The 14,617-nt window shown below is 45.6% G+C and overlaps 2 long non-coding RNA genes across 7 annotated transcripts in view; one reads left to right on the top strand and one right to left on the bottom strand.

Annotated features, from left to right (window-relative positions):
- LOC107987007 (uncharacterized) overlaps positions 1–6,928 on the bottom strand; it is a 70,552-nt gene extending 63,624 nt beyond the window's left edge. For all 5 annotated transcript variants that reach the window (XR_007061534.1, XR_007061536.1, XR_002956859.2 and 2 more), the window contains exon 1: positions 391–6,928. This is a non-coding gene — a long non-coding RNA (uncharacterized LOC107987007). The remainder of the gene's footprint in view (positions 1–390) is intronic.
- A 17-nt stretch (positions 6,929–6,945) lies between these two features.
- Positions 6,946–11,621, top strand: FAM242E (family with sequence similarity 242 member E). Of its 2 annotated transcripts, none has more exons than NR_184154.1 (2): positions 6,946–7,137; positions 11,451–11,621. It is a non-coding gene; the product is annotated as a family with sequence similarity 242 member E (long non-coding RNA). The 2 variants fall into 2 exon arrangements; NR_184153.1 differs by having other exon boundaries at positions 11,443–11,621.
- The last annotated feature ends 2,996 nt before the right edge of the window (positions 11,622–14,617 follow it).

The raw sequence follows: 14,617 nt of genomic DNA, 5'->3' as shown, positions 1-14,617 counted from the left end.
CCTGAATTGACTGTGGCCTGTTGGGAGGCGGGATGGAGGAAACTACTTATGGAAAATGAAGAAGAAAGGGAAGCACACCAGAAGCAAGAAAGTGTCATCAATTTTTACATCAAGGACTCCATGATAAAGAGAAAGTACAGGTGGCCTGTTATCAAGGCTGACCATTGGACTGTGGACTGCACCTGCATCTACCAGGTTCTTCTGGATAGTCCCAGTTTTAAATTTTTGACCTGACATTCATGAACACAGTGCTACTGGTCAGACCTTTGTCCAGGTTTAAGCTTCAGAACATAATGTCTCATGCAGTGGGAGGCCTGATTATGGTTATGATTCTGCCCTGGGGCATCTGCCCCTTCTTACCTGGAGGTAAACTTGGCATCTACTACTTACCTCTACACTTGAACAGCCAAGGATGGACTGAGCACAGAGGCTCACATCTGTAACTCCAGCACTTTGGGAGGCCAAGGCAGGAGGATCGCTTAAGGCCAGGAGTTCAAGACCAGCCTGGTCAATATAGTGAGACCTCGTCTCTGTAAAAACAAACAAACAAAACCGAGGATGGGTGGGTGACAGGGAGCAGTTCAACATCGGAAACCATAAATCTGAGAGGTGGAAGGACCCTTAGACCAGCCCCACATTAACAGATGAGACTCTGCCCTGAGATTATAGCCTAAGGTAATGCATTGAGCTTTTCTAGAGATTTGAAAATAATCAATCCTAAAACCCCCAAGCATACTGCTACTGTTTGCTATTGAATAATGTTTTCTAGTCTGGGTGTGGTGGCTCCTGCCTGTAATTCCAACACTTTGGAAGGTCGATGCAAGTGGATCACCTAAGGTCAGGAGTTCGAGACCAGCCTGGCCAACATGGTGAATCCCTGTCTCTACAAAAATACAAAAAATTAGCAGGCCATCGTGGTGTGCACTGGTAATCCCAGCTGCTTGGGAGGCTGAGGCAGGAGAATCCTTTGAACCTGGGAGGCAGAGGTTGCAGTGAGCCGAGATCACACCATCACACTCCAGCCTGGGCTACAAAAGTCAAATTCCATCTCAAAAATAATAATGATAATAATAATGTTTTCTACAAGCAAGGAGTTACTTTGTACTGTGAACTGGTGTGAAGGGATCTGCCATGTGTAAGCTTTTGGATTGATGACAGTTATTTCTAATTTTAAAAATAGCAACCCAACAGAAAATTGGGAAAATGCATTAATAGGGATTTCACAAAAGAGAAAGCCTGCAAAACATAAAAATTTTCTCAACCTCATTAGTAATCAGGGAAATGCACAAGATACTACACATCTATTCTCTCCACAAATATTAAGAAGTTTGACAATACAAAATGTATTAGTCCATATTCACACTGCTGATAAAGACATAACCGAGACAGGGAAGAAAAAGAGGCTTAATTGCATTAAGGGTTCCACATGGCTGAGGAGGCCTCAGAGTTATGGTGGTGGATGAACAGCACTTCTTACATGGCAGTGGCAAGAGAATATGAGAAGGAGGCAAAAGAAGCAAAAGACAAAACCACTGATAAACCCATCAGATCTTGTGAGATTTATTCACTATCACGAGAATAGCATGGGAAAGACCGGCTCTAAAGATTCAACTACCTCCCCCGGTTCCCTCCCCGAACACATGGGAATCCTGAGCAATACAATTGAAGTTGAGATGTGGGTAGGGACATAGTCAAACCATATTATTCTGCTCCTGGCCCCTCCAAATCTCATGTCCTCACACTTCAAAACCGATCATGCCTTCCCAACAGTCCCCCAAAGTCTTAACTAATTTCAGTATTAACCCAAATGTCCACTGTCCAAAGTCTCATCTGAGACAAGGCAAGTCTCTTCTGCCTATGACCCTGTAAAATCCAAATCAAGCTAGTTACTTCCTAGATACAATGGGGGTACAGGTCATTGAGTAAATACAGCCGTTCCAAATGGGAGAAATTTGCCAAAACAAAGGGGTTACAGGCCCCATGCAAGTCCAAAATCCAGCAAGGTAGTCAAATTTTAAAGTTCCGAAATGATCTCCTTTGACTCCATGTTTCACATCAAGGTCATGCTGATCCAAGAGGTGGGCTTCCACAGCCTTGGGCAGTTCTGCCTCTGTGGCTTTGCAGGGTATAGCCCACCTCGTGGCTGTTTTCATGGGCTGACGTTGAGTGTCCACAGCTTTTCCAGGCTCATGGTGCAAGCTGTCAGTGAATCTACCATTCTGGGGTCTGGAGGAGAGTGGCCCTCTCCTCACAGCTCCACTAGGAAGTGCCCCAGTAAGGACTCTGTATAGGGGCTCTGACCCCACATTTCTCTTCTGCACAGCCCTAGCAGAGGTTCTCCATCAGAGCACCACCCCTGCAGCAAACTTCTGCTTGGACATCCAGGTGTTTTCAAACATCCTCTGAAATCTAGGTGGAGGTTTCCAAACTTCAGTTCTTGACTTCTATGCATGTGCAGGCTGAACACAACATGGAAGCTGCCAAGGCTTGGTGCTTGCACTCTCAAGGCCATGGCCTGAGTTCTATGTTTTCCTCTTTCAGCCATGGTTGGAGGGGCTGAAACGCAGAGAAACAAGGCCCTAGGCTACACACAGCACAGTCAACCTGGCCCAGCACAGAAATCCATTTTATCCTCCTAGGTCCCAGGCTTGTGATGGGAGGGGCTGCTGTGATGACCTATGACATGTCCTGTAGACATTTTCCCCATTGTTTTTGGGATTAACATTCAGCTTCTTGTTACTTATGCAAATTTCTGCAGACAGCTTGAATTTATCCTCAGAAAATGGGATTTTCTTCTCTATCACATTGTCAGGCTGCAAATTTTCCAAAACTGTATGCTCTGCTTCCTTTATAAAACCAAAGGCCTTTAACATCACCCAAGTCACCTCTTGAATGCTTTACTGCTTAGAAATTTCTTCCAGCAGATACCCTAAATTATCACTCTCAAGTTCAAAGTTCTACAAATCTCTAGGACAGGGGCAAAATGCTGCCATTCTCTTTGCTAAAACATACCGAGAGTTACCTTTGCTCCAGTTCACAACAAGTTCCTCATCTCCATCTGAGACCACCTCTGCCTGGACCTTATTGTTCAAAACACTATCAGCATTTTTGTCAAAGTCATTCAGCAAGTCTCTAGGAGGTTCCAAATTTTCCCACATTTTCCAGTGTTCTTCTGAGCCCTCCAAACTGTTCCAACCTCTGCCTGTTACCAAGTTTCAAAGTTGCTTGCACATTTTTGGGTATCTTTTCAGGAGCACCCCACTCCACTGGTATCAATTTACTGTATTAGTCTGTTTTCACACTGCTGATAAAGACATACCCAAGTCTGAGAAGAAAAAGAGGTGTAAAGAAAAAGAACTGTAATTGGATTTACAGTCCCACATGGTGGGGGAGGCCTCAGAGTCATGGCAGGAGGTAAAAGGCACTTCTTACATGGCAGCAGCAAGAGAAAATGAGGAGGAAGCCAAAGCAGAAACTCCTGATAAACCCATCAGATCTCATGAGACTTATTCACTATCATGAGAATAGCACAGGAAAGACTGGCCTCCGTGATTCAATTACCTCACCCTGGGTCCCTCCCATAACATGTGGGAATTCTGGGAGATAGAATTCAAGCTGCGATTTGGGTGTGGACACAGCCAAACCATATCACCATATATGGAGAGACTGTGGATCAACAAGATCATCTCGAACTAATACAGGAGGTGAGCGTTTAAATTAGAACAACCACTTTGGAAAGCAATTTGGATTATCTTATAAATTTGAGCATTCTCATATGTTATGGCAAAGTAATTTCTCTACCATAGGCCCTGGAGAAACTCTTGCCCATATGTACAAGATGTAGTAAAAAAAAAAAAAAAAATCCTCACGTAATGCCATTCATAATAGGAAAAATCTGGAAATAAGCCAAATGTTCATTAATAGGAGAATGGGTAAATTAATAGGAGAATGGGTAAATAAATTATACCCTTAAAAACTAAGTAACATGTCATTTAGGGTAATCATATGTATGCAATAAAACAATGTGTTTTTTTTAAAGGAAGAGAATCCTAAACATAAATTCAGGGTAATAGTTACTCTCGGGCTGAAGGGTGAAAATCAGGAAAAAGGACAGAGGAGGAGCAGATGTTAGGGTCAGAACCCTAGTTCTTTGGTTGTGTTGTAAGTTGACAAGTGATTACCATATTGTTCAAATACATTTACACAGAGGCCCAGGCACAGACAAGGGTGAAATAGGAGCCAAGGTGTACTATGAGCCAAGGATTATGATTAATCCAATTTTGTGCACTTAAGCCATTTGAAAAACAGAAAAGCAAAACAACAAAATAATTTTTAAGAAATTGAATATAGGGTGCTATGCTCTGAATGTGTCCCCCTAAAATTAATCACAAATGTCATAGGATTAGGAAGTAGGGCTTTTAGGTAGTGATTCAGTCATGAAGGGAGAGTCTTCACAAATGGGTGTAGGATCCTTACACAAGGACTGGAGGGAGTGGGCTTCCCCTGTTTTACCCTTCCGCCTTCTGCCATGTGAGGACACAGTGCCTCTCCTCCTGAAGACACAGTGCACAAGGTACCATCTTGGATGCAGAGACCAGGCCCTCACCAGACACCAATCCTGCTGGCACCTTGATCTTGGACTTCTAGCCTATGGAACTGTGAGAAATACATTTCTGTTCTTCAGAAATTACCCAGCCTAGTGTATTTTCTTATATAGAAGCACAAACTCATTAAGGCACAATGCCTCTTGTCATTTTCTTCTACAATTTTCTTTGTGGCCTCTTTAGCACTGGGTCATTTTATATTTGCTCCTTCATAATATCTCTTACTTTCGGTTTTTCACATTTCTGTTCCAAGTGTATTCTTAGATACATATTTTCCACTATTAGTTAACCTCAGGGGTTGCCTGGGAATGTGTGTTTCTGTGCCACCACTGTAGGACTGTGTGTGTGTGTGTGTCTCCCATTCTCTCTTCTCTCTCTGTCTCTCACCCTCTGTGTGTTTCTTTCCCTCTCTCTGTTGGTCTGTGTGTGTGTGTGTTTGTGTGTGCATGTCTGTGTGTGTGTGTGTCTTTGGACGAATGTGCTCTGTTTGCCAAAATGCGATTTTTTGCATGTCGGCCAGTCTTTGTTGAGCCTCTTTCTGTGTCTCTGTCTGGGTCCCGTGGCCGGTTGTCCATCGTTTTCACGGCGGTTCCACTTTGGGTTTGTGAAGTCCTCGATCACGTGAGGAGATGCGTCGGTCCCGGAGCAATCGAAGTCTCATCCCCATCCTGAGCGGCCTCTTTTCTAGGATCAAGAGGACCACACTCCAACCCAGGACAAAACCCCACAGCAGCTCATTGTCCGGCAGGAGAGGAGCAGACACACCTCCAAGAAGATGGTTGTACCCCTGCACGGCTCTTCTCTGAGCAATGAAGCCACACCACGATACAATTCTGAAGAGGAAGCCGGGAATGGGAGACGGCAACAATCCCTGTCCCTGGAATGCTGGCCTCTCTGGACAAGTCATGCGTTTCGCACCCCTCCCCTTATGCCTGTGGCGGTGGCAAGGTTCTGTAACCTGCCTGGGCTCTGGCCTGTGCTCTGTCCTCCCTCTTGCTCTGTCTCCCCTGTTTCTGAGGGGCCTAGTTGCCTCTTGATCTGGCTGAATAAATTCTACGAAGATCGCTTCCCAGTCCATCAGGGAGACACTTTCTGGAGATCCGCGACATGACTCTTTCTCTCTCCAAACCTGTTTCTGCTGGATTGGGCAGGTCTGATAAGCCTGGAACACTTGGCTTCCATGCGTGTCTCAGACAGGGAAGCTTCTTTGGTCTCCTTGTTTCACCTCATCGGTGGGTGGATTGCCTAGAATGAGCGCTAGGTGATCATGACTGGCCTTGTCTTCTAAGACAGGTGGTGTCCCATTTCCTTTGCACGTCCTGTCTCACAAATGAGGGATATCCTCTCCTCTGCTCATAGGTGGACTGATTCCCTGAATCTTTTGTCTGTAACGAATGTCAGGAAACCAAAGGAACTGGGCTGGGCCTGGGGATGGGGTTGGGGCCGGTTGCAGGGAAGTTGCATCAGGGCTACCTGGGCGGTGGAGGCTTCGGGGTAGGGTGAATGTTGCAGAAACCTCTGTGCTCCTCTGGCAGGCATTTCAAAATGTGGCTTGGACTGAGGCAAAGGCCCCGTCCAGGTTCCCAGGTCTTCTTTGAGTTCCCTTGGCACTCAGGGAAAGGCCACTTGTTCCCCCTTTCCACCGGGCACATGCCTGGACACCATTGTTGGTTTTGCCATCACCCCATATGCCTCCGGTGACACACATTCACACCATCTGCTGTGGGATACGCCAGTGCCACGCGTGATCGCATTGTCTCCACCTCGGCTTCGCACCATCCCTGTTTGCACCTGTCCTGGAAAGCGGTGTCCGCTTGCAGGAGCCCCAGGGCTTTTAGAAGTGGGGCACGCCACTGCTCTTTCAACGGAGGAGGGAGGCAGAGGGCTCACAGATCAGTGAACTTTCAGCTGACACCACGCCTTGAGGGCCATGGGATCATTCTGTGCTGCAGCGACGACCTGCCTGCCTCACCAGATGTGCTGAGCCCATCCTTTCTAACCCGGAGGGGTCAAAACTAGGATCTGAAGAGGAGTCCTGAGAACCCAGCAGGCACCCTGAAGATCCCCCTCCATCGGCGGAAGTCGGCTCAAGGATGTCTTGAAGATTGGACTCCTGGGGGTTTGGCCCTGGGACAGGATACTCAAGGACTCCTCTCCCACCCCGCCCCAAACTGGACCTCAGCCCCCACGCCACAGCCCCCACTTTCTCCCCAGAGCTGAGGGACAGACAGAGAATTGCGACTAGAAATTCGATCGATTGGTACGAGGGACCACGTGGCCAGGGGCTGGCCAATGACCAGGCCGCCCGGGATGAGCTAATAATGGAAGCAATTTGTAACTTTCAGTAGCTCTCTAGGCCTGGGTACCGGAGGGAGGGAGGCGGGCAGAGGAGGGGAGATGGGCACCCCCAGTCTTTCCATCCTCCTCATTCGTCTAGGGGCACCCGAATCCCCTATTCCTTATTTCCCCTATCACTCAGGCACTGGCAGGGTCCTTTGCCCACTCCTGTTGGCCGCTGCGGCTCCAAAGCGAGGTAAGCTGGTCCTCTACCCCTCAAACTCTTCACAACCCTCATCCCGTTTACTAGCACCTGCAAACCACAGCCTCCCTTCTTGTCCCATTAGTGAATTTAAATCGGATTTTGTTTTTCCTCTTAGTTGAAAGAAAAATAATCTTTTTGTATTCTTTTGCGTAACCTATCTCGGATTTGGAGAAAATTTTAATTCAAATTAATACGCTTATATTGGGGGGGTGAGTGGTACTTTCCTCCTTTTCAATAAATTTCTATACTTGCTACTTTATGGAGAGTTTACTTTTCTTTGGGGATGAGTTACACCTTATGTTTTCACATGTGTTACTTCTTTAATGATAAGTTCAACTCTTTTCTCCATTCCATCCTCCAATTTTGCTATTTATAAATATCACCTAATGGATTTAGAGTTTATTCATTTTTCTCCTCCCTCACTAGTTTTTCAGCTGTTACAGAATCACCACAATTTATTTTTCTCTGTATGTGGATGAGGTTTTGTGTTGATTCCTATTTTGTTTTGTAAATGAATTTATTGTTTGGGAAACTCTTGGGGGATGTGTGTGTAACAAAGGTCTCTTGATTAATTCCAACCTCTCCTCTTCTGAAGAACAATTTGCTTGAAATGTTTTGAGTATTTTCCTCATTTTTATTATGTCTAAATTTGAGGTATTTTACCTTCTTTAAAACCTGGCCTCTTTTTAAAATTTAACCTTTTGCATGTTAAACCATTTTTAAGGTTTTTATTTTATAAACTGCAATGATTAGTAGATTTACTTGCCTTTCCCTGACCTCCTTCACACGCCTGCCTCCTCCATCTCAAAACTCCCATCCCCAGCTTCCACAATTCTCAGCTTCCAATGGACTCATCCTCCCCTCTCCTCCCAGCCAAGGAGGGATGCCTGGGAAGTAGACAGTGTCCTTCTTGGGTCAGAACCTATGCTCTGGTTCTAGTTCAGGACACCTCCAGTCTGACCTCCAAGCCGGCAAAACGAGTGAGAGAAGAATTTCTGCTCAACTTTTTCATTTGGGACTAAGTTCTTTCCACTTGGCTGTATTCTGGAGAACTCTGATACATGAAATTGAATTTTAAATTCTCATTTTTTCCCTAAATTCTAAGAAAAGTGCAGGCAGATTGTTTTTCTTCCTTAAATGTAAGCTGTTAGCTTAGGGGTCAGCCCTTTGGGTCTTTTATCTCCTGAGGGAGACTTCTCAGAGAGACACACAGTGTTGATTCTTCCTTTTAGTTTTGGGTAAGGTAGAAGGGGCAGGGACTGGGGAAGCCCATATTGATCTCTGGCTCTAGCTCTGAACAAAGAAGGGTAGAGAGCTGGCCTGGGGACTTGTCCCTTTGGTCAGTAAGGTTTGGCTTAGGAGAGAGTTTGAAGTAAATCCCAGCTCTGAGGAAATTCTTCTTTTTAGCATTACTGTGAAAATAAACTCTTAAAATGGTGTGACATGGCGTCAAACTATTCAGATTCCTTGAAGTAACAAAAATAAACTTACAAGAGTAATTTATGTTTCCCAAAGATCCGCCTCCAGTGACTGTCCATTTCTCTCAGGGAAACAGAACCCAACTGGGCAGAAGTAAAACTGCCACCCCTCCCCTTTCAGTTCCCCAGTCACATTGACATTCTGGGCACATTTGGCCCAGCCCTCATCCCTGCTTCTCCCAAGTATGAATCTAAATTACTATTAATAAGGGGCCGCTCCAAGTTAATTGGCATTAAAAGAATTCATTTCAATTTGTTAATATTAAATGAATGCTCTGCACTTTAGCTCCCTTCTTCGCCCTGGATTCCCAGATGAGTGATGGGAAGAAGGGGCAGGGAAGTAGAATGAGGATTTTATTTCTGGCTCTCCAGCTTAGCCACTGTGGTGCCTCCCCTGGGGGTGTGCAATCAGGCACAGTGGGGGCCTGCTTGGGGAAGGTCTGATGGTCTTTTTTGGTGAAATTCATCTGTTTTAGCAGGAGTTGTGGGGGAGGGTGGGTGGGGAGCAGAGGGAGAGGGACAGAATGGTTTGGGGGACTTTGTGGGGAGCAGAGGGTCTAGGGAGAAAGTGGGAAGGGAAAGGGACGGAGGTCAACAGGAGTTTTGGAGAACAAGGGTTGTAGGCTGTGGGGGGTAAAGCCGATTTGTGAAGAACTGGTGATAGGAACTAAAACAACCCACCTAGAAGGGGAGGGGCTTTGAGCAGGGGTGGGGAGGTGGGATTTGAGGCAAAACAGCTAGGAGTTCTGAAACTATTAATATCTAGCTGTGTGACTCAGGGCAAGTTGCTTAACTTTTCTCTCTGCCTTAGTTTCTTGACCTGTAAAACAGGGATACCAATAATAGAACTTATCTCAGGGGGTTATTTGGAATTAGAGGAAATACATGCCATGTGTTTTCCACAGTGCTTGACACATAGAACCTGCCAGTAAATGTTAGCTCTTTTTATGGCAGAGTGGTTAACAGGATGGATTCTGGAGCTAGACGGCCTGGTTTTGAATCTCAGTCATGCCTTATGTGAGTTGTATGACCTAGGCAAGTTACTTAACCCCTTGTGCTTTAGTTTCCTTGTCTGTAAAATGGGGTTAATAGTACCTAGCTCAAAGGCTGCTGTCAGGATTAAATGAGTTATATGTACGAAGAGCCTGGAACAATGCCCATCCCATAGGAAACACTATGTAAGCATTAGTTGTCACTGATATTGTTGCTCTTCTGATCTAGGAAGGTTGAAAATAGAGGCACAGGTGAGCTACTACTTACAGGCTAAGACTGGAATCAGATCAACTCTTTCACTCCTATCCCTGAAGCTAGTCCTGCAACTGGGGCTGCATATGAGGGCTTGGGGAGAGATCCTATAACCCTGGAATCTGGGATATCCAAGTCCTTCCTCTGCTCTAGCTCTTGGGTTGGTGGTCCCTCCAAGACCCATAGACTCGAAGTCACTTCTTTTTCCCTCAGCAGGGTTGGGGTGGGGCTGGTAATGGGAGAATTACTTTCTTGGTCTGATAACTCCCTTTAGTAGAGAGTTAGTCCTGGGAGTGTGAGTTGGGGGAGGTTGGGTAGAGCAGAGGAGATTAAATATCCTTTATGTACCAGCCCACACACACTTGACCTCACCAGAGGGTTGGGAAGACAGAGATTCAAAGAGGGGAAGTGATCTGACAAAGTCCTAAAGCTAGAACTTGGCAGAGTTGGCATGTGAACTCTGATCTGCTTGATGGCAAACTTAAAGCCCTTCCATTGCTGCATGCTTTTTGAAGGGAGAAATGGGACACGTGTAAACTTGGGCCAGGACCATGGGGTAGATGGAAGATGGGCGAAGATAGAGTATTGGAGTGGGAAGTGGCCAAGCAGGAATGTTTCAATCATGGAAGATTTCCTGAGAAAAGAGATTCCACATCAGGGTTCAGATGGTAGGGGAATGAGGATAGGAAGTAAAGAAGAGGGAGGGAGCCATGCATTGACAAGGAAGGAGAAGAAAAAACAATTTATGCAAAGGCTGGGTCAGAGTAATGGACATGAATTCAATTTGCCTTGGGTTTGCCTTACCATTTATTGAAGGCATACTATGTACTAGGTACATACATGATCACATTTGATGTTCACAACAGCCCTGACAAGTGGGTTTCTTATCCCTATTTCCAAAAGAGTTCATTGAAGTTCTGAGAGCTTAATCCCCGCTTTAGGTTACACAGTAGTAGCTGGATTTCCTGGCATCAGAACCCTCACCTACGCTGCCTCTGAGCATGGCTTCTGTGCCCCAGTCTCAATTTCCATGACTGTTTCAAGTCCTCCTGTTCCCCCGCATTTGTAGTCATTCTTGGTGACTGGGAACGAAGGGCTAGAGCGTGAGCTGAAACTGAGACAGGGAGTGGCAGGCAGGCAGTGGGGACAGAAACTTTTCTCAAATCCACCCATGTGAAGAAGATGGACAGAAGGGTGGTCTTTCTGGAGAGAGGCTTCCAAGCCACTTTCCCAAGAAAGACAGCTGATCTTGGGATAAATGGCAGGGACCTGATTGGGTAGGGGATGGGTGGTCACATTGTTTTCTGGGCTGTAGACTTTATTTCCCTTCCTTTGGGAAGAGAAGAGGAAGAGGACAGCTCAGGTGTGGGTTTGAGCCCTGGATTAAGACTGCCCATTGTCCACTAAAATCTCTTCTTTCCTTGCTGCACGAGGGTGGAGGGACACCCAGCTGGACACTCCATTTCCCAGCTGCTCTTATTGCCAGGTGTAGACACAGGGGAATGTGAGGTGAGCATGTCCTCAAAGCCTGACGGATTGGGTAAATTCTCCTTTGTGTTCTCTCTTTCATGAGCTGGGCAGATGTGCCTGAGACAGGTTTGACCAGGCAACTGAAAAGACATCCCTAAGAGAAGACAAAGCAAAGGTATGAAAGGAACACACGTCCCTGACTGACTAGGAGGAACAGAGCTGCCTGCTATCTGGAACAACTTCCTCCCAGACTAAGTGAGAAATAAACTTCTGTTTTCTATATGCTACTGTGTTTGGGGGCCTTTGTGTTATAGAAGTTTTGCTGTCATCCTTTCCAATTCACCTTCTCACACCAGATATTTCAAATTAAGAAGATTATATCAGGCCAGGTGCCATGGCTCATGCCTGTAATCCCAGCACTGTGTGGGGCTGAGGCAGGTGGATCACTTGAGGCCAGGAGTTCGAGACCAGTCTGGCCAACATGGTAAAACCCCATCTCTACTAAAAAATACAAAAATTAGCTGGACACAGTGGCACACTCCTGTAATCCCAGCTACTTGGGAGGCTGAGACAGGAGAATTGCTTGAACCCAGGAGGCGGAGGTTGCAGTGACCCGAGATCATGCCACTGTGCACCAGTCTGGGCTACAAAATGAGATTCTGTCTCAAAATAAAAAACTGATTACATCAGATCACGGAATAACTATAATAATATTTATTGGGCCAGATAGTATGCAAAGGACTCTATGCACATTATTTAGTGTAATCTATGTGACAATCCTCTGAGATATGTGTTACTATTCCAATTTAAACAAGAGGAAACAGGTTCAAGGAAGGTAAGTTATGTGCTGAGGGACACACAAGAGGGGGTGGAGCTGGATTTCAAGCCCACTGGGTGTACAGAACTGAGCCTTTTCACCATGGGGGCAAATCCCTCCTGAGGACAGGGCTGGAAAGGCCATGGAGATCATCTTGTGCTTGGACAAGCCTCTCACCAGTCACCACAGGGCCCTGACTCCCATTCCTACCTTCAAGAAGCTCAGCAGGCTACTACTCGTGTTCATGTTGGGTCACTACATACGGTTTTATTTGAAGGAAGGACCCCAGAGTTAAACTCATTTGAAAACCCCTGATAAATTCAGTCCCCTCCCTCTTTTTACAGGTGAGGCCCGGAGAGAAGATATGACTTGCTTAAGGTCACACACTTAGTTTCTCTGTCAATCTTTCTAAATCTAGGACGAGTTCTCTTCCCACTGTATCAGGCTGCCTCAACAAACAGGGAAGTACAAAAATAGCCAAATCCAGGAAGGAGGGCAAGTGGTCTGTGTCTCCTCCAATTATTTCATGGGACAGCCAAGCCTATTTTCTTGATTTCCCTTGTGCCCCTCCTGTCGGATATCTGCTTTGGGACCCATCTCTTTTGGGCTTGCAGAGAGAACGGGCTGCACCAGCTCTCTACCCTCTGCATCACCCAGATGGTCAAACATGCAAAGGGAAAGGAGAGCTGGGGCCAGAGTCAAGGCAGGCAAAGAGACTCTTCAACCCCCTCCAGTCTTTCCACATTTATATTTTTGGAATTTCAGGCTCCCTCCTCCCCCGGGACCTTTCCTAGTAGCCCACCAGGGAGAAGAAGAGGGAAAACTGTCATAAATTTCTCCTATTTATACAAGATGACAGAGTTTCTTGTGCCAGAAAAAACACAGAAAGGGAGCTGTCAGGGGAGAAGGGACCCAGCCCTATATCTTCTGGGGTCAATTTATCTTTCTGAATCATGGCTTGGGGGCTACCCTAACATTGCCTGTATGAAATGCAGGCTTTGACTTGGGGCAGCCAGGCCAGACAGCCCCTGAGCTTTGTTTCTGATCACAGTTTTCCTGCTTCATCTCAACTTCCCCCTACCCCTTACGCTGTCTTTTTAAAAAACAACCTTCTTGAGGTATAATTCATGTGTCATACAATTCACCATTTGAAATGTACAATTCAATGGTTTTAGTATATTCACAGGTATGCCAAACCATCACCATAGTTAATTTTAGAACATTTTCATCACCTCAAAAAGAGATCTTGTAACCTTTAGCTATCACCTCCCTATCCCCCCATATTCCTTCTTGCCCTTAACAATACTAATGTACTTTCAGTCTCTGTAGATTTCCCTATTCCGGACTTTCATATGAATGGCATCATATAATAAGAGACCTACTGTGACTAGCTTCTTTCATTGAGCATAGTGTTTTCAAGGTTCATCCATGTTGTGGCATTTATCAGTACTTCATTCCTTTTCAAGGCTGACTAATATTCCATTGTATGGATATATCACACTTTGTTTATCCGTTCATCTATTGGTGAACATTTGGGTTTTTTCCACCTTTTGGATATTATGATTCTCTCTTTCCTCTTATTGTCTAGACATCTTGGATAGTATCCAGTGAGGCCTGTGGGCAAGAATGGGTGTTTCTTATATTTGGGAACACCTAATATCCATGAAAGCAGGGTCTTGGCACATGTCTGCTTTCATATTAAGTATATGTACTAGCTGGAATTTTCCTCCCTCTGTTGTTACTGAGTTGGGGCTGCTCCCTCCTTTATCAATTCTCCCTTTTTATCATGATTGCTGTGTTGGAAACTTGCTGACTCTTCAGACTAGGGGATTCAGATCCTTCTCTTGGGGCTTCAGAGACATGGAGTGGATGAATGAATGTCTTCCCATGAGGGAGGAGTTCCCTGAGTCTGGTCTCAAGTGATTATCCAGTGCCTCACAGTGGAAGGAAGGTCTGTGAAGACTCCAGGGTCGAGGGAAAGTTATGTTCTTGGAGGTATGACTGAGCCCAGAATCCAGGCCTCCAGTGTCCATCTCCTTGCCTGGCCCATTTCAGTCTTCAGACATGCTTTGAGGTCAATCCAGTCACTCACCCAGCAACAGACACTGCCTCTGCCCTCATGGACCTTGCAGTTCTAGTGGTGAGAGTAAGATGAATACAAGTGAACAAAATGATGGCAAGTTGTTCAAGCTTGTTCAAACTTCTAAACACTGTTCAATGAATGAATGAACCAACAAGAACTTACTATGTGCTCTGGAAAGAAAATGTGAAAAATGTCGAGTTGTAAATCACTTTCTGCTACCGCTACCTTTCCTAGTCTGGAAGTCAGCATTACTTCTCCATCCCTTGGAGGAGATAGTGGGCAGATATTACAAAATGTTAGCTAAAAAGAGCTACCATTTATTGGACCAGACATACACCAAGGGGTTTCTATAGTTCATTAATTTTCACCCTTTGAATT

The sequence above is a fragment of the Homo sapiens genome, chromosome 9, assembly GCF_000001405.40.
Source record: "Homo sapiens chromosome 9, GRCh38.p14 Primary Assembly".
Classification (NCBI taxonomy): Eukaryota; Metazoa; Chordata; class Mammalia; order Primates; family Hominidae; genus Homo; species Homo sapiens.
Note: the sequence above shows the minus strand (reverse complement) of the source record. Positions and strands in the feature narration are given on the sequence as shown.